The 25,637-nt window shown below is 36.9% G+C and overlaps 2 pseudogenes, besides 1 other annotated feature; one reads left to right on the forward strand and one right to left on the reverse strand.

Moving 5' to 3' along the window:
• Positions 16,758 to 17,296: an enhancer, noted in NCBI's record as "NANOG hESC enhancer chr3:175778986-175779524 (GRCh37/hg19 assembly coordinates)". NCBI's record gives its function as "activates a minimal SCP1, AML or CMV promoter by ChIP-STARR-seq in primed H9 embryonic stem cells {active_cell/tissue: H9 hESC(primed)}" and the evidence as "EXISTENCE:reporter gene assay evidence [ECO:0000049][PMID:30033119]".
• On the reverse strand, positions 23,396 to 24,460 carry EI24P1 (EI24 pseudogene 1; annotated as a pseudogene).
• On the forward strand, positions 24,667 to 24,812 carry EI24P6 (EI24 pseudogene 6; annotated as a pseudogene).

Below are 25,637 nucleotides of genomic sequence, written 5' to 3' on the forward strand. Positions count from 1 at the left end.
GAGTAATTTTATCCCTGAATCTGGAAAGAATTCCAGGTTGGAAATAAAGACAGTTGAGCCACTACATATACAATAGATATTTGAGTCATGTGGTTCCAGGTTTTAATCTAAAGTGTGATAAAAAGGAAACTGAAAAAAGAAAGGGACAAAGAAATGAAGTCTTCAGAGGAAGCTGAGAAATTGATCACAAACACAAAGCGCAGAAAATATTTGATGATTTTGATACGTATTTTATTTTTCAATCAGTAATTTTTAAATAAATGACAAAAATTTTTAAAAAGTCATAATGTTATCTAACTTACATAGTGATTGCTTCTATGGAAAAGTGGGTCAGTGGTTTTGACATATATGTAAATTTATAGGAATTAACAGTATTAGTGACTTTTACTGGGCCATGGGGTTTTGCACATTTTTGAGGAGGATATTCAGAATAACTAAATATTCATTATTATTCAGTTCCTCAATATATTCAGTTATTCAATAAATAAATATTATTATTTATTTTGATTTTTAAGTTCCTGCCTAGAAAGAGTCCTTAAAATTAGAAGGCCTTCCTGAAAATTTTAATGTCCATTTATTGCTGAATTGGTTTACTTATTTTGATGCAAGATCAAATAAGTTAAATAAATGTCAGTCATATTTTCTGATTTAATTTTGAAGTTTCTTATATTGATCAAGAAAATTGATTATTTAAGATAACAGAGAGGGGGACAAGACAGTTTTCCCAATTGTTTAGGTTAATTGTTTAGATGGCTATTTAACTCAGACATGCTAAATAAATTTCATCTAGTAAAAGTATTTTAAAATTTAAGCTGATGCTTTAAAAAATCACTTACATGTTAAAATTGGGTAGAAAAAATTAAATAACATTATGGCCAATATTTTCTAATCGAATAATTTTAAACTAAATATCATAATTTTAGTCTTATAATAATAAGACTTGTTGAGTATTCTCCACTGGTAAAACTTCCAAGTTATTTGTGAGTGGAACCATGAAATATGTTTTCATTTGTTTTCTGTGATGCAAATTGCCACATCACTCACATATTCAAAGTGTATTTTCCCTGTGTCCAGTGTTTTAGTGTAGTTAAGAAACTCCCCAATTTAAAGCAAATGTTCACCCTTTATAAATAAATAGACCAATTAGGAAGTCAAATTCATCATTTGAACAATATCTGAGCATGTACTACATGTCAGTTTTGGTCATATTTGATCCTAGTAGTGAGTTCACTGGATATCGTGCAATTAGTAACATCATTGATAGAGTATGAGAGAGTCAATTAAGCATGCAGTATTTGCACACAAGCTATGTACACAAACCATGATCTTTTGGCATTGTAAAGTCTTCCATGGTATGTGGAGATGTAAGAGAACTTTCAAGTCATCTAAATTTATATTTCAAAGCATACAGAGCTCTTTTCTGTATCATCCTTGTTGCAGTTCTGCACAAGTTGTGCAGACATTGAGTGTTAGCAACTGGCAGAAAACTCACTTTTTGATAGAGTAGCCCATTCTATTGTTCAGTACCTGGACATAGCTTATGTTAATTGTATCCTCATTTTTTTGATATGATTGTAAGAGATTTTAGTTTGGTTTTAACTTTTCTTGGTTTATTTTCACATATATTGGAGTTCTCGCCTTCTGAGGAACTTAAAATGTCAATTTTAGCTCGTAACTCTCCAGAAATAGGAACTGTATCTTTCTATTTTAATCACAGTTTTAAAATATATGGAGAAGCACACAAATATTTTTATGCCTTTACAGTGTTCATTTTGTGTATAATTTTAATTTTTCTTTACTTTTTATATTTGTAAAAGGTAAGCACTGTCTTATGTATATATTTAAAAACATATTTGTATCTTTACATTTATGTCTATGTCTGTAAAGTGACTAGATGTCTAATTCCAAGGTCTTGGAAACCAATTGTTTAAATAAAGTCCAATTTTTTTAAAAAACAAGAATTTGTGGAAATTAAAGACCAGTTTTTGCATTGGATTCCAGGCCTTACATTTTGCAAATTTGGAATCGTGCTGATTTTTTAAGTGAGGAAGCTGTACTTCCTGATTTATTGGCTACATCACTGAAGAATAGATGAACTTGTATGTGTAACAGATTATTTTTTATTCTTAATTTTATATTTTTGAGAATTAGACCAGATTTTTAAACTCCCAAGGGTTTATACAATCATATGTCAACAGCCATAAAAGAAACCGCTCTTGCAACTATACATACATGATTTACTTATTTAGCATTCAGAGAATGTGGGGCTATTGTGCACCAAAAAGCTATAACATTTTCACAGAAAATTTAGTGTTTCTTCCTGCTGCCTACTGTAATTGATGTGATAAAAATAGCAGGCCTGAACTTCAGCCTATGTACTCAGAGGGAATTCTTCCATAGAGTTACACTGAATGAGGTTGGAGCCCAGCATATTTATCGCCATGGTAATATGAAGATATGATCATATTCCTGCCTATATTAGATTGCCAAAATGCAAGAGGCAGGACATTTGCTGCATATCCATCTGTCAACCCGTCAAGTGGCTCAGAGGTGAAACAAACATGGATGACCCAGATATTCCAGCAGCTTTTCTACTACCTACTTGGTATATCTTTGGAGAGGACAGGAAGAAGAAATGAATGGGATAATACAATATTTTAAACTGAGAATATCATAATTTATTATCTATACCAACACCTCAGTATTAAAATTAGTAAGATGCATGATTTAGAAATGCTGATGTGGACCATGTTATTTCATGGAATACACTGGAAATTTTAGTTAGGCCTCAACTATGACTTTTCTAAGGATGAATTCAAGATTTTTTTAAAGTTAACAATACCTTAATGTATTTTTACAGTGTAATTTTTGCAGATAAAATTCATGAGCCTATTTGATGTAGAGACTTAAAGTTTCTTATGAATTTTTCCATAGTATTTCCACTCTCTTATCCTATTGTCCACAATATTTCTATTTATCAGTAATATATTCTCTAAAAATACTTATTTTATTATGGTGTTTCCCTGAGGGACTTTGAAAGAATAATGTTTCATATGTTATTCCAACAGCCAAATAAAATGTGAGAGATAGAAACAGTTGTTTTTTTTTTCAGTGATGAAAGATAGTTTAAAACAATGAGTACAAAGAAGCAACTGATATATTCTCAGGATGAAAAAATATCTCTAAATTTTTAAAAAATCAGTTGCATATGAAACCAATTCTATTATCACGATATTAAGATGGCAGGCATCCTTACGGGATAGTACCACATACATTGCCATATATTGCTGTTTTCTAAGTGGCCTCTCTGTTTTGTCAAAAAGCCTTTGAACTTTTATAAGTCATGGCCAAGAATTCAAAATCCTCCCAGAATTACTGGTCTTTTAAACATCTACATATATTCTCTGACAGTTGTCTTTTGCAAGAATGATCTCATCTTCTTACATGAAGTATATTCTAGCTATATGTCTGTTTGACTTGTATTATATAAAGATCATTATTCTCTAACAGAATGTCTATTAAATATTTCTTGTTTGATGACCAATACATTTTGAAATTCATCTACACAGAAATAATATTGACGATTTTGCGTGCTTGTCTATGCCTTTTTGAGAACAGGGCTTTGCAATCAAGCTCATTCTCAGGGTACCATTTATCAAAGTTCTCATGCCATTATGAATTTTTTAAAATTGGTATTCATCTGCCAATCTCAGTCATAGTATTCCAACAACAGACTTAAGAGGGAGTTCTCATTATTCTTCTTGTCTACATATGAGGAAATTGAGTGTAGGTGAGATTAAGTTGAATTCCCATGGGCTCATAGCAAGTCAACGACATATCTGTGATTCAGACCAGGCTATTTAGAAGAAGCATTTCTTTCACTAGGCAAGCTGCACTGGGTATCACTCAAAGTATGAAAGCTGGGCTGTTACTGGGGTCCTGAAATCTGACTGGCTTCTCTAGCTTTAGTTCCCATCAACACATACTTTCTGTTTAAATGACTATTATGTCATAATAAGATTTTATTCCCTTGAGGAGAAAAAAGGACATCAAATTTTGCTATAAAATGATGTGAATAGCTTTAAACAAACAAATCCAAGAAAAGTTAAAAGAACATTTAGAGATTTTTCAATACCCTGCAGTCAAAACATAGATCTATATCTGTAGTTGAAGAAGTTGGATTTATTGCTTGTTGCGGAAGACAAATTCTGATGCAGAGATAGAAAGATTATATATGTTACATAGAAAATTACACAAGGAAAACAATGTGCCACCAAAGTTCAGTTCTTTGGACTCGATTAATTAATTAATTGAAGAGATATATTACAGCCCATATTCTACATACTAAGTCCTGGTTATCTATCTGTTATATAAATATAAATGTATCATTTTGGTTTAAAATATGAGAGAACTTTCTGATAGCTTTTATGTATAAATTTTGGCTTGGTGACTAAGACAATTAGAAAAGTTTCTGTATTTTTCCATGCCATTCTGTAACATAAACACCCTACAACTTTTGCTCCTTCGTGTTTAATCCCTGAAACAGAGAAATCGTTGCATTACAGTCCTGCTTTCACATTAGCAAATTGTTCTCTGAGCATATGAAATGGAAATTTAGTGGAAGACATTGATTTTAAAATGCTAATTGACTTAGAGTATCTATTAAAAAGCCCAATTAGTCAAAGACTAAACAACCTGACAAAGAAAGTAATAAAAACTACAGTAGCTGTGGGGTACTAAAGTATTTGACACTGCGATTAATTTGAACATTCACAACTCACCTCTGAAGGTATGGGTAATTAAGAATAAGCTGGGGGCAGATTTCTTTATCCTCTCACTCTAAATCATTCATGGGGCAGTTCTCATTATTTCTATTATCCCTACTTCCTGGTCCAGTACCCTTATCTTTGTTACTGTAATCTTCACAAAGTTAAACAAATCATCATTCTAGGTTGATAGATCAATTTTTGGATATGGGGGATATGGGGGATTAAAATATCATCTACAATTAGTCTTACAAAAAAGCCATTTTTCAATGATTCTAAAAAGTGAACTAAGAGATTCTAAGAAAACTTCATCTAGAGATGTGACATCTACTATTTCTGAAATCCTGATGTAAATGATCAAAGGGCTACTAAAGTAGAGGAGAACATAAGGGAAAATATTATCCACAAAAGGCAGAACTTAAGAATTTCTTCCATGTATAGTGCATATAGGATCAGATTGAAAGGAACAGACACATTTACCCAAAGCTGCCCTACCAGAGAAGATGGTTTCTTAACCACACGATGTAAACAGAGCAGAATTTGTCCAAGATGTTAAAATCTATAATTTCTTTTTGGCAGGATATATTTGAATAATGACACTAAAGCCATACTAAAGGAAAGACAGGCTTAAGGAAAAATAGGCCACCTTCCTTGGAACAGCACGCTAGCATATAGGTTGCATTAGGCTTTCCAAAAGCAAATGGGACGATCTGTGATAGGAAGCGTCCCAGGTGCAAAGCATTTGGCTCAAAGGCTTTGTACTAATCAATGCTGAAAATGGCCCTATAATGTACCAAGTATGGAAGCTGGACCAAATAGAAAAAATTATTTTAATTGTATAGTAAAAGCTCTCTGCTGGCACAGTGTCTTTCTTAGATGTAAAGAAGAGATTAAGTAGAGAAATTTCAGTTCTGAGACTTATAGAGCCCAACCTCAGCTTCACTGGTGGCTGGATCACAGACCTGGTAATGGACTCATAGTAAGTAATCATCTAGCCATATAGGTCAAGAAGAAAAGGCCACAAACATGGGGAGGAGTTATTGATATAGTGACAAAGTCTGGTTTAATAAATCAGTGAATTTTGAGCTCTACAGTCAGAGGACACAGAATAGTTCCTTTTATTACCCTTGGAACATTACCAAATTTTGATTATATTACTCTTGCACATCTAAAAACTCAATACATATGAATAATCAATCCTACAAGTCACATATTTTGAACAAAATATAATAAAACTGGAAATTAATAACATAAAATATGAAACATAGCAACTCATACACATTAAGAATTCACGTGAAAAAATTATCATAAATGACATCTTATTTAGAGTAATTAAATTCAATAAAAGCATTACATATAATAATGTATGGGATGTAGCTAAATCTATAATCAGAATAAATAATCAGCTCTAAACAGTTGACCTATAAAATGTGAAAGAAGTATTCAACTGAAAAATGTTTGCAATTATAATAAACATAAGTAATGTTAAATAAGAAATTAATAAATATGGCTGGATTGAAAAGGAAAAAAAAAACTAATAGATAAATCCAGGAGCATGATGTATTAGAAAAGATAAAATTAATAAATATATCTAGGAGCTTTAAAATGGCCAATATAAAACACACAAACAAAATGTTATTTGAAGATTGAGAATGAGAAACAGTTTAAAATCTTTAATAAATAAATGATGAAAAAAAATTTAAGAAATATAATTTCTACTTCTGGTACTATGGCAGGCCAGATATCCCTAAAGTTCTTTGCTCAAAATACATCTAGATTCTGTATACATTTTAACACTCTTCTAGACTTTCTGGAAAGTAATGGAAATGACATTAAGTAATGTCATTAATGTTTTACTTAAAAATAAATTAACAAGAAAAATAAGGCAGTGTTCACAAACTGAAAGGGAATAGAAAAAAGGTTCCAAATGTATATCAAAATGATTGAAAATTAGTTTTCTTTACAACATTGACAGAGATTGATTTACTTCTTTCCCAATTTGATTTTCAATCATTTATCAGCAATGTATAATGGTCTTTCCTCCTTCTTGTTTCTTTTGCATTCATTGGTGGTAAATATCTTCATTTTATAAAACTTTCATATGTCTATGAATTTTTTTCTCATTGGCTTTCTCAGACTTTTTGTTTTTCCAGGAATTTTTAATATCCAGATGTTGTATTTCCCTAATACAAAATCATTGACCAAGAAATTATTTCCAAATTCAAAGTCATAAAGTTTTCCCTTAATGTTTTCTTCTAAAATTTGTATAGTTTTGTTATATTTGGGTCTTTGATACATTTTTAGTTAATTTTTGTATACAGTATAAGAAAATGGCCCAACTTCATTTCATTTGTTTATAGATATCAATTTTCCTAGAAAGGGAACTAATTTTTTAAGGAAATGTTTTCATAAACTATTTTGCTTCTCTATTCAACATTCCATTTGCTAGAATTCACATGATAAATTCTCAGACAATAAAGATTTTCTATAATTTTTATTTTATAAGTTAAGAGAAAAGACAAAATATCTTTCCTAAATTTTCATCATTTGTTTAGTCCACCATTCAACAAGAAACTCCGGTCTCCTACTTGTGATTTAGTTATGCAGAGGAGGAGGAAGTAATACAAGTGCTCTAACTGTTTAGCGAGGCTCTCAGTTTAATGTTCATTCCTACACCTCACGTTGTATTTCTCGTTATTATTTCATTGTTTCTGGCTCACATTATTGAAGAATAGAATATTGTCTGAGCTTTGCTCCTGGGAAGTGGTCCAAGAACAGTACTGATTTCAGAAACATGCCGATTTCTAGAGATACAAAGCGTTCAACACTTTATATAGGGTTTGAAAGTTTAATATGGTTAGATAGAAAGAAATTATGAAACTGTACATGCCGGAATTAACTTTCAACTATTATTGGAAGAATTCTCTTCCTTTTCAACATTAAGGCTTTAATTAATTTTATTGATGCATAAAAATATTTTATTAATTATATATAATGCTTAAAAATATTATATTTAGAGATTTTTGCTTTTTTGATGCCTTTGAAATCATTAAACTGTTCCTTTTACTTTCTAAGTAATGACTTTCTATATTATGGCTGTCTTCCTCCCACAAAATTCTAATTAAAAAATAGATTTAGAGAATTACAGTACTTGAAATTCTATCGTCACCTCATTCACTGGAATTCTGTAAGACAGTTGGCTGACAGAATTTGGCCGGTTGCTTAAATATCAGATTAAGTAAATGGAAAATAAAAGCAGTAGAAACGTTTGCTTTCTTCTACATCAACTCTCCAAATGTTATGCCACTAGTGAGACCACTTTAAAAGCCGCATAAGAAATTATGTCTTAAAAATGCAAAACTGATCAAAGGCTAGAGGGATCATTACTGAAAATTCTACCCTGAAGGAAAAGGAATGGGTGGGCTTGAATAAATATATGTGGTCAAAGCCAGAGCTGAAGACTAATGAAAGAAATAATCTTCAAAACCTACACCTTACAAAGAGGTAAGTTATATTGTAGCACATAAAGACCTTGAAAATCTGAAAAAGTAACTTACAAAGAAGTCCATAGAACTGAAGCCCTCCTCAAGTCTCCTATGATGTCCATAAATGGACTCTGCATATTGTAATGTTGTGTGTATTTTCCTTCCACCTGAACTCAATAAGGAAAATCCCAGAGGCAAGAGAGGATGCTTTTCTCCCTTATAATCCAGGATAATACAAGGGGAAAAAACTGAAATGTTTATATACCAATTTTCTATAATAAAGCTAATAATATGTCAGAAAAGTAAACATCCAGAGTTTTTTTCAAAAGGTGATGTGGAAATAATCCTTCATGAATAGCATTAGATACAATTTTTGGTAACATTTTTAAGATAAATTATTGTTCTCAGATGAGTGTCATGCTAAAATGAAATGGGAAATTAAATCTAGTTTTAAAGGAAGGAAAGAACATGGAGTAGGAGGAAATAACTGGTGATATGAAGTGGTTCCTCTCAGCACTGAAAACAATGAATTCTGAAAGAAGATTATACAATTGATGCTGTTGCTTCCACCTTGTGTGCTCCATTTTTTCTTCACAGTTTGATATTTGAGCATCGGGTAGCAGAGAATTATATTTCCCAAATCCTCCTAACACCTGGTCTTCATATGTCTTATTAACTGTTAAAGAAAGATGGACTGCAGCAAAGACTAAATGGTATTTATACAGCAAAGAAAACCTGAAAGGACCAAGTAAGACTTTCATTAGTAGAAATAATGGGAATAATAATAGTGAGCATTTACTTATCATTAAATGTTCTTCAGGCATTTTGCATATAATAAGAAATGTACTTATTCTCTCTGTTCTATAGATGATAAAGCTGAGGATGAGCGAGGGTGTGTAACTTATCACTTCCCACAATTGCAAAACATCAGAGACAGTATTTGAACCTAACTAGTCTGACTCTGGAGTCGAAGAGTTTAACCAGCCTACCACATTAGCTGTCTCCAAACAGAGCTTTTGATTAATACACTCTGGTCCTCACAGATCTTGACATAAGAGATTTTTACACCTACACAAAAACCACTTAAAACAAAATGCACTCAGCAATGTCACTCCTAGGTATATACTCAAGAAAAATGCTATATATATATATATATACGTGTATATATATATATATATATACGTATATATATATATTCCACAAAGACATATAGGCATGCACAACAGCACTATTTTTCCGAAAGCTAGAAATTACCCAAATTGTCATCAACAAAAGAATAGGTAAATAAATTGTGGTTTATTTTCACAGTGGAATACTGTATATTGATGAGAATGAATGAACTACAGCTACATATGACAATAGAGATGAATATCATAAAATGCTGAGCAGAAGAAGGCAGATACAAAAGAATACACCCTGCATGATTGCCTTTTTATGTAGAGATCAGAATAGACAAAATATTGTATAATGTTAGAAATGATGATAGTGGCTATCTTTAGGATAACTAGTACCTAGAAATGAGTGCATAGTTGCTTCTCTGGGGTTCTGGTAATATTCTGTTTATTCATCTAGATGCTGGGTACAAGACATATTTGATATTAGAAAATTCATGAAGCTGTTCTCATGTATGCATTGCATATGTCAATCAAAAGGCTTTTTAAAAGTACAATGCATAATCAAAGAAAAGTGTGATTATGCTTAATTTATAACCTATGAATAGATATTTTATTTGAAATTGGTACCCCCTCAGACCTGCACAGTAAACAGCCCTTATATGTAACTACATTTCCAACATCACACTTAAAAAGATATCTGTATTTGCACCCATTTTTCTCCCTACTTTTTAGAAAAAAACAAAATTTCCTCTTAAAACATTGCCTTCAATAATAAAAATTGGAAACAAATATTCATTATTGTGGGAATGGTCAATAAAAAGACATGCATATTAAAAAGCCATTAAAAAGCAGCCACTAATAAGAATGTGGTACAAATGCACACTCACCTGCAAAGATACCAATGATGTGTCCTTTTTCTAGTCTAAATTGCATAATAATATGTACATAATGATTTATTTTTTGTAAAAACAAAATGTATACATATATGTATACATGCATGTTTGTAAATGCACTATTAAAATATAGAAAATCAAATTAATATATAGCAAACTGTTAGTGGTATGTGGAGGAAGGTAGGCTTGGGGTTGTTTGGGGTAGAATTGGAGGATTCATATTGAGAGATTAAAGTCTAAAGATGTTAACTTACCGTTTTTTAAAACTTTTTAAAATTTAGACTCTTTTTGCTGTTTTGTGTTTTCAACAGTTTAAAAACATTTTAAAATGAAAAATAATTGACTTTTTAATAACCTCTTAGGTTTTCTGGAGATTTTCTTTCTTAATATTTCCTATCCTGCTCCCCCGATATTTTTACTTTTCTTCTCCCCTCGTTTCTTTCCCTCAGTTTAAAAACCACATTCAGGTCTTCTCCCAAATAAAAAGAAAAAAATAAATATCCATCAATTACAAATGACCTCTTAGCAAACTATCTCATATCTTTCCTCCCATTTATAGTCAGGTTTTCTTTTCTCTTCTATGATTTAACCCCTTGAAATTAGGCTTCTACCTCTGACTTTTGATTACACTATCTCTGACAAAGTTCATCAATGACCTCTCACCCTCTTAATTAATCCAGTGGACTATTTCCATATTCACATTATTTAGATTTAATGGCCCTTGACAATAGTGCCCCTTCCATTCTCTGAAAGCCCGTCCTCAGGTTTTGAGTTAGCAATCTCTTCCAATCTTCTTCCTACTTCTCTAATGATTCCTTGTAAGTCATCTTTGTGGACTCACTTCTTCCAGCTCTTTAAATGATGGTGAATCAAAGGACCTTGTTCTCAGCCTATTTGGCTCATACTTTACACAATCTCAGAATACAGAAAAGACACTTTCGACTTCCATCACTATATGCTCATGAAGCCCAAGTCAATGAGTCCAGACATGAAGTGCAAGACCTCTGTGAGGAAGCACTCACTGGATATTGTCATGTGGATTTCTCCTACATAGGTCAGAAAGAACATGTCTCAGGTTACCCTGCTTCTCTCCTTTAATCGCTAGCTCAGTTACTACCACAGGCTCACTGGGTTTCTTAGCAAGGAATCTGGGTGTCTGTCTTAAATTTAGCATTTACTCATTTTACCTCCACGTCTTATTTATTAACAAGTCCCACAGATTCTAATCATAACAAGTTTTGTGTAACGTATTATGTTACACATATGCATTTGTTACTCATATGCATTTGTTACTCATATGCATTTGTTACACACGTGCATTTCCACTGTGGGTGTTTTGATTCAAACTTGCATCACGTCTCATTGAGACTACCGCTCTGACCTCTGACTCACCTTGTCTACTTGTTTTCATCATCCATCTGTACACTGCTGCTGATCTTCCTTATAACGAGATCTGCTCTCATTACTGCCAATAATTGAATACTTACAATGGTTCCCATTGTGTACAGACTATCCCACCAACCATTTTTGCCTTATATTTTGCCATGTCTTTCTTCTTCACATACCTATAACTGGCGGCAAGCCCAGCTAATTACAGCTACTTTAATGTACCATGTACCTCTGTGCATTTGTCCACTGGACAAAGAAAACTCACCTTTTCTATTTACTTAGTTCCCTGGCATCTTTTGAACAGGTTTTCAAAGACTCTACTGGGAAAAATTATATAATTGCTTTGTGTATCCCTGATATCCTAAGACTAACTCCAGAATTCTAAATTCCCAAACAAGCAAATATCATCATCCAAGCACACCAGTTTGCATTTTACACAATCTGCTTCTAAGGCAACTAAATGCTTAAGATGGCAAATCTCATCTCTGCTATGTGGTTGGACATCTTTGTTCATTTATATGCTAATTCAAATGGAAAGCAATACGTTGTAACGATGATGGTTATTCCAGAAGACTGTGTGCCTAATACCTTTTTAACACATAATTTAATATTATAATTCAGGGACCAGCAGTAAAACTTGATTCCTTCTGTTGTTTTGCAAATCTTTTGATTATTTCCTTAAGGAAACAGTGTCAAACAGTGACTTCTCAGTTGAAGGGGCAACAAGGTCTTACAATCTGTTCTGGCTCATTGGGCTTCTTAGCTATACACACAAATGTTGAACAAAGTGAAATGACTATGTAAAACAAGAAAAAAAATGAATGATGGAATATAAAGTGGAATTCTGCTCACACATCATAGAGCATAGTTTTCATAAGTGAAAGAACCACTCTTTAATTATAAGGCTCACTAAAAGAGTAATTATTTTGGCTTCAAAGAATGTTTTAATAAAAATCCATAATCAAAGCATTTAATTAGTAATTCTTCATAGCAACAATGGACTGATATCCTTATGACATTACTTTATAAACATTAAATTGATTTTAAAACCCTGCCTGTGTAGATAGTGACTTTCATTATTGCCATTGACTAAATAGACACTAGATACTAAAAATTTGAAGTGCCTATGAATACCAGTTACTTACAATGGATGAAAGACAAAGATTAACTTATATTTTTTAGTCTGTCTGTGTTTCATAGAGTAGAACTAAATAAATGTAACTTTGTATTTCAGCATTTTTTTACTTTCATGTTTGCCAAAATTTCAGACAGTTTAAGTGGCAGCATTCTAATTTTAAATGATTTCCTGTCCTCTAGTCCACATTCACCATCAACATTATTAGAGATGATCTTTAAAAGTAGCTAGAAGTAATCTATATTGACCAGCCATCACACAGTGATAGCACCACTTAGCCATCTCATTCACAGGGCACCTGTGTTATATTCCCTTGTTCTATAGTTATTAACTGTGATTTATTTCTCCAACATAAGTGTAAATTCCTAAAGGGTATGGATTATGTCTCATATATCTTGATACTCCCAAAGCAACTAGTATAAAACCCTGCACATAGCAGGTACAGTGTAAATGTTTGTTAATTTATCGCCTGGGATACAGAAATAATTAGAGTAATAGGGCTTTTTTTTTTTGAAGAGCTGAACTTTAATTATTACAGAAGAGGAAGAAGATGTTTAAAATGGTTGGGGAATGGAAACAAAAAAATGAAAAGCAAAAGCTACAATCTAGATTGCAGGGCATGTAATCATGTTGCTTTGAGTGAACAAAACTTGTGCTGTGCATATGGTTTAAAAAGACAACACCGCAGAATACAAGAGACTCCATCGTGGAAACTCTTAACTAATCTTTGAAGTTCTATATAGTGATTTTAGAAAGTGCTGCAAAAGAAGAATCAGTAGGCATATACAACTCTAGATATGAGTGAAGGTGAAAGCATTCAAAAATTGCATCCAGATTTTAACTATAAAAGCTGAAGACTCTAGATACATCAGATATAGGACACCTGAGATTATCCCAGCCCAGTTCCTATTCAGGGGCAGACTAGCTGTCTGGAATATTGCTGAGCACAGGGTACCTCAGACAACTAAAGGGATCAAGGCCTCTTCCATATTTGAGAATCCTGATGTATCAGTCAGTTATGTTAGCATCAGTAAGAAAAAAATCTCAGGAGCATACAACAAGAAGCACTGTTTTCTTGCACACATGGCTGTGGATCAGCTAGGGTGGCTCTACTGAGGCTAATCAGTCAACTTTGCTTTAGGCTGTAGATGTATGAGTATGTTGGATGGCTCTGCTCTACATGTCTCATTTTAAGCCTCTAGCTAAAGGGTCAGTGCTTACCCAGTATACTTTCCTGTTTTGGCAAAGGCAGAACAATCAGGCTAGCTCAATTGCACAAGCACATTTCAATCCTCTATTCACAACCAATAACATTCCATTGATCAAAGCAAATCATATGACCAAGTCAAATGGCTGAGTGTGGGGAAATATACACTACTCAATATGAGGCTATGTCAAGGATACAGAAGTATAAGACTACAACAGGGGAGTGAAGAATCAATACCAATAAATCAGTTTCTTATATCTAGTATTTTAAAATTCCAGAAATTCTGGAAGCCTGTTATAGAATGTTAATACACTCTAAAGGTTTATGTTTAATAAATGAATACTTTGAATATACAAACAAATACAATTACTTTTATAAGCTCATTTGGATATTTCAAAATTCAAAATGTGAATTATTAGCATGGTAACATTAAGGGGAAAATTTCATTAAAAAAGTTACAAAAAAGTTGTGTGTGTGTGCCAACAGTGCAAGCCCAGGTCTTCAATATACTCATCATAGCCATGCCTGGTAGATGTATACATAGTCTACAGCTTCTATAGATTTGAATGTCTTATAGCAAGTTCATTTTACCTATCATGTTTTCTGATGATGCAATAGATATATAAGTCATGCAGAGCCATAAAAGTAATTAATGTAAGACCAAAGTTTCCTTGAGGGCAAGAATAGATCTTTCATTTTTGTATAGCCAGTGTGTATAAAATTCCCATAATATAAAAGCAAATGATGGTTGCATAAAGAATGAATGAACAAATGTAGTTTTGCTTTTGCAAATGTGATTTAAAGAAGGACAGTGTTAAATAGTGCATTAATTTTCCTATTAGACTAGATGGTTGTTACCAAGGGCAGAACTGACTTACCTCGGTTCTTGTCAGTATTCAGAGTCTTCTTATAATGTTTTAGGATACTTGAGCATAAGGTAATATAAGTATTTTCTTGTAATATAACCCAAATGTTTTAAGGCCTCATAAACTTGCTTATTTATTCAACAAATATTTTAAAACACCTTGTCTGTTCCAGATAAAATTAGGGCACTTGGATACTATAGTGGAGAAAAGGTCAGAAAAGATCTTTCCTCTTAGAAAGCTCACATTTTTTAGGAGGAAAAAGACAATAAATTTTGGAAAGGAATATAATAAATAAATAAATAATTTAAAGGGATGAATGGTGTAATGATAATTAAAATAATTTGATGTGTTGGAGTGTGGGGGGTATTTAATTTTGACTTCATGATTTTGGAAGGCATCTTGGGAAACTGATATTTAAATTGAGACTTGTGAGAAGAGAGACATGTAAAGATTACAGGAACCCATTTCAAGCAGAGGGGGCACTTTGTGTGAAGGCCTCAAGAAAAAAGTGAGCTTAGCATATTTAAAGAAGAGACAGAAGGCCAGAGTGACTACAGCAGGTTGGGAGAGAGAAAGAGTAGGATGAGATGTATTAGGAGACCAAGAGAATGCTTTGTCATGCCGAGCTTTATAAATCAGGATAAGGAGTTTGCATTTTAGTGTAAATGATGAGAAGACATTTGAAGTGAGTAAAGACTTGATTAGACTTCTATGTTTAAAAGATAATTAAGAGTGCTATTTGAAAAATCAATTTTAGAAGGACAGGGGCAGTCTGGAAAGGCAACAATCAAAACTTTGACTTGAATCCATTAGGAGTAGGAGTGGAAAGAAAATTATAGCTTCAAAAATACGCTCTGTAGGTTGAGTCTGCAAGATTTGCTGTTAAAACTGATATGGGATATTAGTAAAATAAAAAATCAAGATTAATTATTAGATATTTGGCTTTTGTAGTAGGGTGGATGGTGGTGGTATTTACTGAGATAGAGACAACTGGGGAACAAAAAGTTAAAGCAACTTTCCATTGTTAATTTTAAGATTCTTATCAGAAATACATGTGGAGAAATATATTTTATATATGTGATATTAAAAAATCTGTATTTCAGGAAATGGTCAGGGCTAGGAATAAAGTGTCATTAACATATAGATGTTATTAAAATGTCATGAGATTGAATGAGACGATTTAGGGAAATTTTTCACTTAGGGACTAGAACTGGTCCAAGAATGAGCCATAGTGCACTTCAATATCTCAAAGTTGAATAGAAGAAAAGGACCTACTAAAAGGGACTTAGAATAAATCAATGAATTAGGAAGAAAAGAAGCAAAGCATACAGTCACAGTAGCTAAGAGAAGAAAGGGTTCAAGAAGAAAAAATATCAAAAGAAAGCAAGAGAGTAAATAATAAAAATGTGACTGTATTAGGGTCTCAGCAAGAAATAGATGGCATATGCAAATTAAGGTAGTTCAAGAAGATTTAGTAAAAAGAATTTTTACAGAGATATTTACCAATTGTCAGTTCATTTTATGCTGCTATAAGAGACAAGCTTAGATTGGGTGATGTATTAACAGGAATTTATCATCACATGGTTCTGGAGGGTGGGAAGTCCAAAGCACTGCCATCTTGTAAGTGGCAAGTGCTTCTTGCTGGATCATCACATGGTAGAAAGGTGAAAAGAGAGTGTGTGTGTGACAGAGAGAGAGAAAGAGAGAGGTAAAGAGGGGGGCAAACTCATTCCTTATAAGGAAACTACTCCTGCAATAAAGGCATTAATCCATTGATGAGGACAGACTCCTCATGGCATAATCACCACTTAAAGGTCTCACTTCTTAATACTGTCACAATGGCTATTCAATTTCAACATGAGTTTTGGAGGAGACAAACATTTCATCCATAGTACCAGGTGTAAGGGAACTGCAAGGATTAGTAACAACAAAGTTTTACTGTTAGATCCAAAGCAACCAGAGGATATAGTGGTTATAGAATGTGAAGGGAGTTTCCTATAATGAAGTCTATTATTTTTAAAAAGTAGCATTGGTCAAAGAACACAACTTACAAGTCCTTGTGAACAGTGTCAGGCCTCTGAGCCCAAGCTAAGCCATCATATCCCCTGTGACCTGCACGTACACATCCAGATGGCCAGTTCCTGCCTTAACTGATGACATTCCACCACAAAAGAAGTGAAAATGGCCTGTTCCTGCCTTAACTGATGACATTATCTTGTGAAATTCCTTCTCCTGGCTCATCCTGGCTCAAAAGCTCCCCTACTGAGCACCTTGTGACCCCCACTCCTGCCTGCCAGAGAACAACCTCCCTTTTTCCTTTACCTACCCAAATCCTATAAAATGGCCCCACCCCTATCTCCCTTCACTGACTCAGCCTGCCTGAACCCAGGTGAAATAAACAGCTTTATTGCTCACACAAAGCCTGTTTGGTGGTCTCTTCACATGGACGCAAGTGAAATTTGGTGCTGTAACTCGGATCGGGGGACCTCCCTTAGGAGATCAATCCCCTGTCCTGCTCTTTGCTCCGTGAGAAAGATCCACCTACGTTCAGGTCCTCAGACCGACGACCCCAAGAAACATCTCAACAATTTCAAATCCGGTAAGCAGCCTGTTTTTAGTCTCTTCTCCAACCTCCCTCACTATCCCTCAACCTCTTTCTCCTTTCAATCTTGGTGCCACACTTCAATCTCTCCCTTCTCTTCATTTCAATTCTTTTCATTTTCTGGTAGAGACAAAGGAGACACGTTTTATCCGTGGACCCAAAACTCCTGCACCGGTCACAGACTAGGGAAGGCAGCCTTCCCTTGGTGTTTAATCATTGCAGGGACGCCTTTCTGATTGTTCACCCAGGTTTCAGAGGTGTCAGACCACACAGGGACACCTGCCTTGGTCCTTCACCCTTAATGGTAAGTCCTGCTTTTCTGGGGGAAAGGCAAGAAACCTAACCCCTTCTCTCCATGTCTCTACCCCTTCTCTGCTTTTCTGGGGGAGGAGCAAGAACCCCTCAACCCCTTCTCCTTCACCCTTAGCGGCAAGTCCTGCTTTTCTGGGGGAGGGACAGGAACTCTGACCTCTTATCTCTGTGCCCCGATCCCTTATTTCCACCCCCCAACCTCTTATCTCTGTGCCCCGATCCCTGATTTCTGTGCCCCGACCTCTTATCTCTGCACCCCAACCCCTTATTTCCGTGCCTCGACCCCTTCTCTGCTTTTCTGGAGGGCAAGAACCCCCCACCCCTTCTCCGTGTCTCTACTGTCTTTCCTCTGGGCTTGCCTCCTTCACTATGGGCAAGCTTCCACCTTCCATTCCTCCTTCTTCTCCCTTAGCCTGTGTTCTTAAGAACTTAAAACCTCTTCAACTCTCACCTGACCTAAAATCTAAGTGTCTTATTTTCTTCTGCAATGCCACTTGACCCCAATACAAACTCGACAGTAGTTTCAAATAGCTGGAAAACGGCACTTTCAATTTTTCCATCCTACAAGATCTAAATAATTCTTGTCGTAAAATAGGCAAATGGTCTGAGATGCCTGACATCCAGGCATTCTTTTATACATCGGTCCCTCTCTAGTCTCTGTTCCCAATGCAACCCCTCCCAAATCTTCCTTCTTTCCCTCCCACCTGTCCCCTCAGTCCCAACCCCAAGCATTGCTGAGTCTTTCTAATCTTCCTTTTCTACAGACCCATCTGACCTCTCCCCTCCTCACCAGGCCAAGCTAGGTCCCAATTCTTCCTCAGCCTCCGCTCCTCCACTCTATAATCCTTTTATCACCTCTTCTCACACCCAGTCTGGCTTACAGTTTCGTTCCGTGACTAGCCCTCCCCCACCTGCCCAGCAATTTACTCTTAAAAAGGTGGCTGAAGCTAAAGGCATAGTCAAGGTTAATGCTCCTTTTTCTTTATCTCAAATCAGATAGCATTTAGGCTCTTTTTCATCAAATATAAAAATCCAGCCCAGTTCATGGCTCATTTGGCAACAACCCTGAGACGCTTTGCAGCCCTAGACCCTAAAAGGTCAAAAGGCCGTCTTATTCTCAATATACATTTTATTACCCAATCTGCTCCCAACATTAAATAAAACTCGAAAAATTAAATTCCAGCCCTGAAACCCCACAATAGGACTTAATTAACCTCACCTTCAAGGTGTACAATAATAGAGTAAAGGCAGCCAAGTAGCAACATATTTCTGAGTTGCAATTCCTTGCCTCCACTGTGAGACAAACCCCAGCCACATCTCCAGCACACAAGAACTTCCGAACGCCTAAACTGCAGTGGCCAGGCATTCCTCCAGAACCGCCTCCCCCAGGAGCTTGCTACAAGTGCCAGAAATCTGGCCACCATGCCAAGGAATGCCCACAGCCCAGGATTCTTCCTAAGCCATGTCCCATCTGTGCGGGACCCCACTGGAAATAGGACTGTTCAACTCACCTGGCAGCCACTCCCAGAGCCCCTGGAACTCTGGCCCAAAGCTCTCTGACTGACTCCTTCCCAGATCTTCTCGGCTTAGCGGCTGAAGACTGATGCTGCCCGATCACCTCGGAAGCCCCGTAGATCATCACAGACACCGAGCTTTAGGTAACTCTCACAGTGGAGGGTAAGTCCGTCCCCTTCTTAATCAGTATGGAGGCTACCCACTCCACATTACCTTCTTTTCAAGGGCCTGTTTCCCTTGCTTCCATAACTGTTGTGCGTATTGACAGCCAGGCTTCTAAACCTCTTAAAACTCCCCAACTCTGGTGCCAACTTAGACAATACTCTTTTAAGCACTCCTTTTTAATTATCCCCACCTGCCCAGTTCCCTTATTAGGCCGAGACACTTTAACTAAATTATCTGCTTCCCTGACTATTCCTGGACTACAGCTGCATCTCATTGCTGCCCTTCTTCCCAATCCAAAGCCTCCTTTGCGTCCTTCTCTTATATCCCCCAACCTTAACCCACAAGTATAAGATACCTCTACTCCCTCCTTGGCGACCAATCATGCACCCCTTACCATCTCATTAAAACCTAATCACCCTTATCCTGCTCAATGCCAATATCCCATCCCACAGCATGCTTTGAAAGGATTAAAGCCTCTTATCTTTTGCCTGCTACAGCATGGCCTTTTAAAGCTTATAAACTCTCCTTACAATTCCCCCATTTTACCTGTCCTAAAACCAGATGAGCCTTACAAGTTAGTTCAGGATCTGTGCCTTATCAACCAAATTGTTTTGCCTATCCACCCCATGGTGCCAAACCCATATACTCTCCTATCCTCAATACCTCCCTCCACAATCCATTATTCTGTCTGGATCTCAAACATGCTTTCTTTACTATTCCTTTGCACCGTTCATCCCAGCCTCTCTTTGCTTTCACTTGGACTGACCCTAACACCCATCAGGCTCAGCAAATTACCTGGGCTGTACTGCTGCAAAGGTTCACAGACAGCCCCCATTACTTAAGTGAAGCCCAAATTTCTTCCTTATCTGTTACCTATCTCAGCATAATTCTCATAAAAACACACGTGCTCTCCCTGCCGGTCGTGTCCGACTAATCTCTCAAACCCCAACCCCTTCTACAAAACAACTCCTTTCCTTTCTGGGCATGGTTGGATACTTTCGCCTTTGGATACCTGGTTTTGCCATCCTAACAAAACCATTATATAAACTCACAAAAGGAAACCTAGCTGACCCCATAGATCCTAAATCTTTTCCCCATTCCTCTTTCCATTCCTTGAAGACAGCTTTGGAGGCTGCCCCCACCCCAGCTCTCCCTGACTCATCCCAACCCTTTTCATTACACACAGCTGAAGTGCAGGGCTGTGCAGTCAGAATTCTTACACAAGGACCGGGATCGCGTCCTTTTTGTCCAAACAACTTGACCTTACTGTTTTAGGCTGGCCATCATGTCTCTGTGCAGCAGCTGCTGCCACCCTAATACTTTTAGAGGCCCTTAAAATCACAAACTATGCTCAACTCACTCTCTACAGCTCTCATAATTTCCAAAATTGATTTTCTTCCTCACACCTGACACATATACTTTCTGCTTCCCAGCTCCTTCAGCTGTACTCACTCTTTGTTGAGTCTCCCACAATTACCATTGTTCCTGACCCGGACTTCAATCCGGCCTCCCACATTATTCCTGATATCACACCTGACCCTCATGACTGCATCTCTCTGATCCACCTGACGTTCATCTCATTTCCCCGCATTTCCTTCTTCCCTGTTTCTCACCCTGATCACGCTTGGTTTATTGATGGCAGTTCCACCAGGCCTAATCACCACACACCAGCAAAGGCAGCTATGCTATAGTACAAGCCACTAGCCTGCCTCTTAGAACCTCTCATTTCCTTTCCATCATGGAAATCTATCCTCAAGGAAATAAATTCTCAGTGTTCCATCTGCTATTCTACTACTCCTCAGGGATTATTCAGGCCCCCTCCCTTCCCTACACATCAAGCTCAGGGATTTGCCCCCGCCCAGGACTGGCAAATTTGCTATTCTACTACTTCTCAAGGATTATTCAGGCCCCCTCCCTTCCCTACACATCATGCTCAGGGATTTGCCCCTACCCAGGACTAGCAAATTAGCTTTACTCAACATGCCCTGAGTCAGGAAACTAAAATATCTCTTGGTCTAGGTAGACACTTTCACTGGATAGGTAGAGGCCTTTCCCACAGGGTCTAAGAAGGCCACCATGGTCATTTCTTCCCTTCTGTCAGACATAATTCCTCGGTTTGGCCTTCCCACCTCTATACAGTCCAATAGCAGACCGGCCTTTATTAGTCAAATCAGCCAAGCATTTTTTCAGGCTCTTAGTATTCAGTGAAACCTTTATATCCCTTACAGTCCTCAGTCTTCAGGAAAGATAGAACAGACTAATGGTCTTTTAAAAACACACCTCACCAAGCTCAGCCACCAACTTAAAAAGGACTGGACAATACTTTTACCACTTTCCCTTCTCAGAATTCAGGCCTGTCTTTGGAATGCTACAAGGTACAGCCCCTTTAAGCTCCTGTATAGACGCTCCTTTTTATTAGGCCCCAGTCTCATTCCAGACACCAGACCAACTTAGACTGTGCCCCAAAAAACTTGTCATCCCTACTATCTTCTGTCTAGTCATACTCCTATTCACTGTTCTCAACTACTCATGCATGCCCTGCTCTTGTTTACACTGCCAGTTTTCACTGTTTCTCCAAGCCATCACAGCTGATATCTCCTGGTGCTATCCCCAAACCGCCACTCTTAACTCTTAAAGTAAATAAATAATCTTTGCTGGCAGGACTATGCTGAACCTCCTTACGCACTCTCTAATCAGATAGCCCAGGTCCTCCCAATTCTTAGTCCTTTAGTACCTGTTTTTCTCCTTCTCTTATTCCATTTAGTTTTTCAATTCATACAAAACTGTATCCAGGCCTCACCAATAATTCTAAATGACAATTGTTTCTTCTAACAACCCCACAATATCACCCCTTACCACAAAATCTTCCTTCAGCTTAATCTCTCCCACTCTATGTTCCCACGCTGCCCCTAATCCCACTCGAAGCAGCCCTGAGAAACATCGCCCATTCTCTCTCCATACCACCCCCCAAAAATTTTCACCTCCCCAACACTTTACCACTATTTCATTTTATTTTTCTTATTAATATAAGAAGACAGGAATGTCAGGCCTCTGAGCCCAAGCTAAGTCATCATATCCCCTGTGACCTGCACTCAGCAGATCTGGCTGTGAGGTCCTTTCTCCTGCCTCATCTCTTCAGGATGTATATATCTATATCTATATCTATATCTATATCTATATCTATATCTATGTCTATGTCTATGTCTATGTCTATGTCTATATCTATATCCATATCTATCTATCTATCTATCTATCTATCTATCTATCTATCTATCTATATTTTTTGCAGTGGAGCAAGAGAGACGAATACCTGAGTTACCTAACCTGAGATAAATGAAACAAGACTGCAGTGACGAGGAGCAACTGCAATTCTCCTTTACCTCCCACATCCAATGTATGTGCTTCACAGAAAAATGACAAAAATAACAAATCCACAAAATACAACAGCTAGAATTACAAGATCCATTTATCCAAGGGTGGTAGAAGGCAGGAAGGAAAGGTGAGAGGGTAAGTGTCACAAGGAGAAAAACAAAATACTCAAATCAGTCCAGGCATAGAGAAAATAGCTGCAGAAAAACCTTTGGTCGTTTCAGACTCAATGGTGGTGTTAAAATTCCACGCACTGGGCCGGGCGCGGTGGCTCACTCCTGTAATCCCAGCACTTTGGGAGGCCAAGGTGGGTGGATCACCTGAGGTCAGGAGTTCGAGACTAGCCTGGCCAACATGGTGAAACCCTGTCTCTACCAAAAATGCAAAAACTAGCTGGGCATGGTGGCGGGTGCCTATAATCCCAGCTATGCGGGAGGCTTAGGCAGGAGAATCGCCTGAACCTGGGAGGCAGAGGTTGCAATGAGCCAAGATTGCGCCACTGCACTCCAGCCTGAATGACAGAGCAAGACTCCGTCTCAAGAAATAAATAAATAAATAAATAAATAAATAAATAAATCCACACACTGGTGCCAGGAAGATCCTGCCTTACAGGCACCAGAGACAAACATTCCAATTCCTCAGAGAGAAGAGAATAGCAGAGGGCCCTTGGCAGAGTGGGTCCTGCCTTCCCTGGCAGGGGGAGGTGAACAGGGTAAAGAGCTGCCACAGTCTCCTCCAATCCCACCCATCTCCTTTGGATGTCAGGCAGCTCCACGGCCTGCAGCAGCCTTCAGTTTGGCAGGAGATAGATGTGGTGATGGGAACTTCTCTGCAGAATTTGAGCTGCTCAGGACAGACTGCAGGTAGACTGCCTTGTGGAAGAGTCTGTTGCTTAACAAGACCACCGAGGAGAAGAGGCACAACTGGAAGAGGCTGATAATATATGAGGGCTGCAGTGCTGTGAGAAAAGCCAAGGGCAAACCAAATCCAAAGTAGTAAGGCCAATTCCTTTCTATGTTAGACAACCGCTGATGCATTTCAATTCCTTTATTGAACCAAAGATATTTGAAGTGGTACAGTGAGAGAGAAGTGACATATGCAAGAGACTAACCAGCTGACTAACAAGACGGATGGGAAAGAGATTCACAAACATTCCCTGAATCAGGAAAAGAGCCTACAGCAAAAGGGCGAACACCATGTCAGTAAAAGGATGAAGACCATGTCAGTAAAAGGAAGAAGACCATGTCAGCAATTCCCACTAAGGACTGGGTGAGGCTTTCTCCCTGATACCTCAAATGCCAGGTCAACTGTATCCTGGAATCAAATGGCATTCACAACTTTGCAAAGCACAAACCAGTGGAGCACCCAAAGAGCACTGGAAATTGACGTGAGGAAGAATTCCAGCCATGAGCAAACATCTCCATGTAATGATCAACAAATCGGTCACCAATAAATCGGTCACCAATAAATCGGGCTGTTACTGACTGAAGCACAGGAATAAACACCCCATGAAACAAGAGGAGATTGAAGCCCATTCTAAGGGCAACACTGGAAAATTCTGCTAACAATACATGGCTCACTTTCTTGCTTCCACTCTATACTCTGGGCTGTTTTCTGTGCTAGGAGCCTACTTGCCCTTCTGGGCGCAGTGGTCCCGGCCCTGGGAGCACCCTGGTGGGGCTGGCGGCCAGGGGTGGAGGAGCTTATCGGGGCAATGGGTGGGCGAGGGGACTGGCCAGAGACCTGGTGGTGGAGCGAGTCCTTCATGATGAGAGATCTGGGGACACTTCTGTCTTCTCTGTGTAGTTGATAGTGTGGGTGGTGAAGAGATGGTTTACTGACTGTGTCAAACCTTTCTCCAGGACCTGGACAGGAGAATCAAAGACTCCATCTGGGGTGTTTTTACCATCTCAAAACTAGATGCTCAAATCCAGCAATAGGGAGAGGCGCAACGTCGAAGAAAGGCAAGTAGTGTCCTAGCCCAGAGAAGGGCCCAGGGTATGCATTATTTCTTAAGGCAATTGCATAGCAAAGATTTTATTAGGATTTGGAATGTATTCACCTATTTTTGCAACATTACCAAATTTTGCTATTCTGATAGCGATGCCTACCTAGAGGAGTTGTTGGGGTGAAATAAATGGTACATGAGCTGAATTAAAACATATTTCTTAACTAATGATCAGATCTAGATAAACTTAATTTGGTGAGAATTTTTAACTTTGTAGTAATTTACTTCAACTCTTAAGTAATTCATAGAGGTGAGGTGTTTATACAGTAAATTATACAAATGAACATTTGTAAAATGAAATAAAATAGAATCTGATGAAAACTAATCCTTAGATATCAACAAAATATATTTTTATTATTTGCAAAACCAATTTTTAAAAATAAAATACCTGATACAATTTATGCTATGATATGAAAAGAAAATTTGATTCCTTATTTTTTCCTAGAACTATAATCATTATTAAATTCATATAAAATATTTAACAATAAACAAAGAACATAGAAGATTAGAAGCATCATTTTAATCTAATAATTCAATGAGGTTGTAAGAACATAAAATCTTATGTATCGGGAGAAGTCATTTAACTTTCTATGTCTTTTCTTTCCTATTTAACTTAATACTATTGACATATTCACAAGGTTGTTGAAAGGTATGAGTAATACAAAAATTGTAAAGTAGATTAGAAATATAAAGTGCTATGTAAACGCTCAAAGATGGCTATGCTTCTGTGAAGAAAGCCTAAATTTCTATTTATTTTATCAATACAAAATGAAACAGTCTCATATTACTTGAGTGTTATGACAGAGAAAT

Source organism: Homo sapiens, chromosome 3, assembly GCF_000001405.40.
Source record: "Homo sapiens chromosome 3, GRCh38.p14 Primary Assembly".
In the NCBI taxonomy this organism is placed as follows: domain Eukaryota; kingdom Metazoa; phylum Chordata; class Mammalia; order Primates; family Hominidae; genus Homo; species Homo sapiens.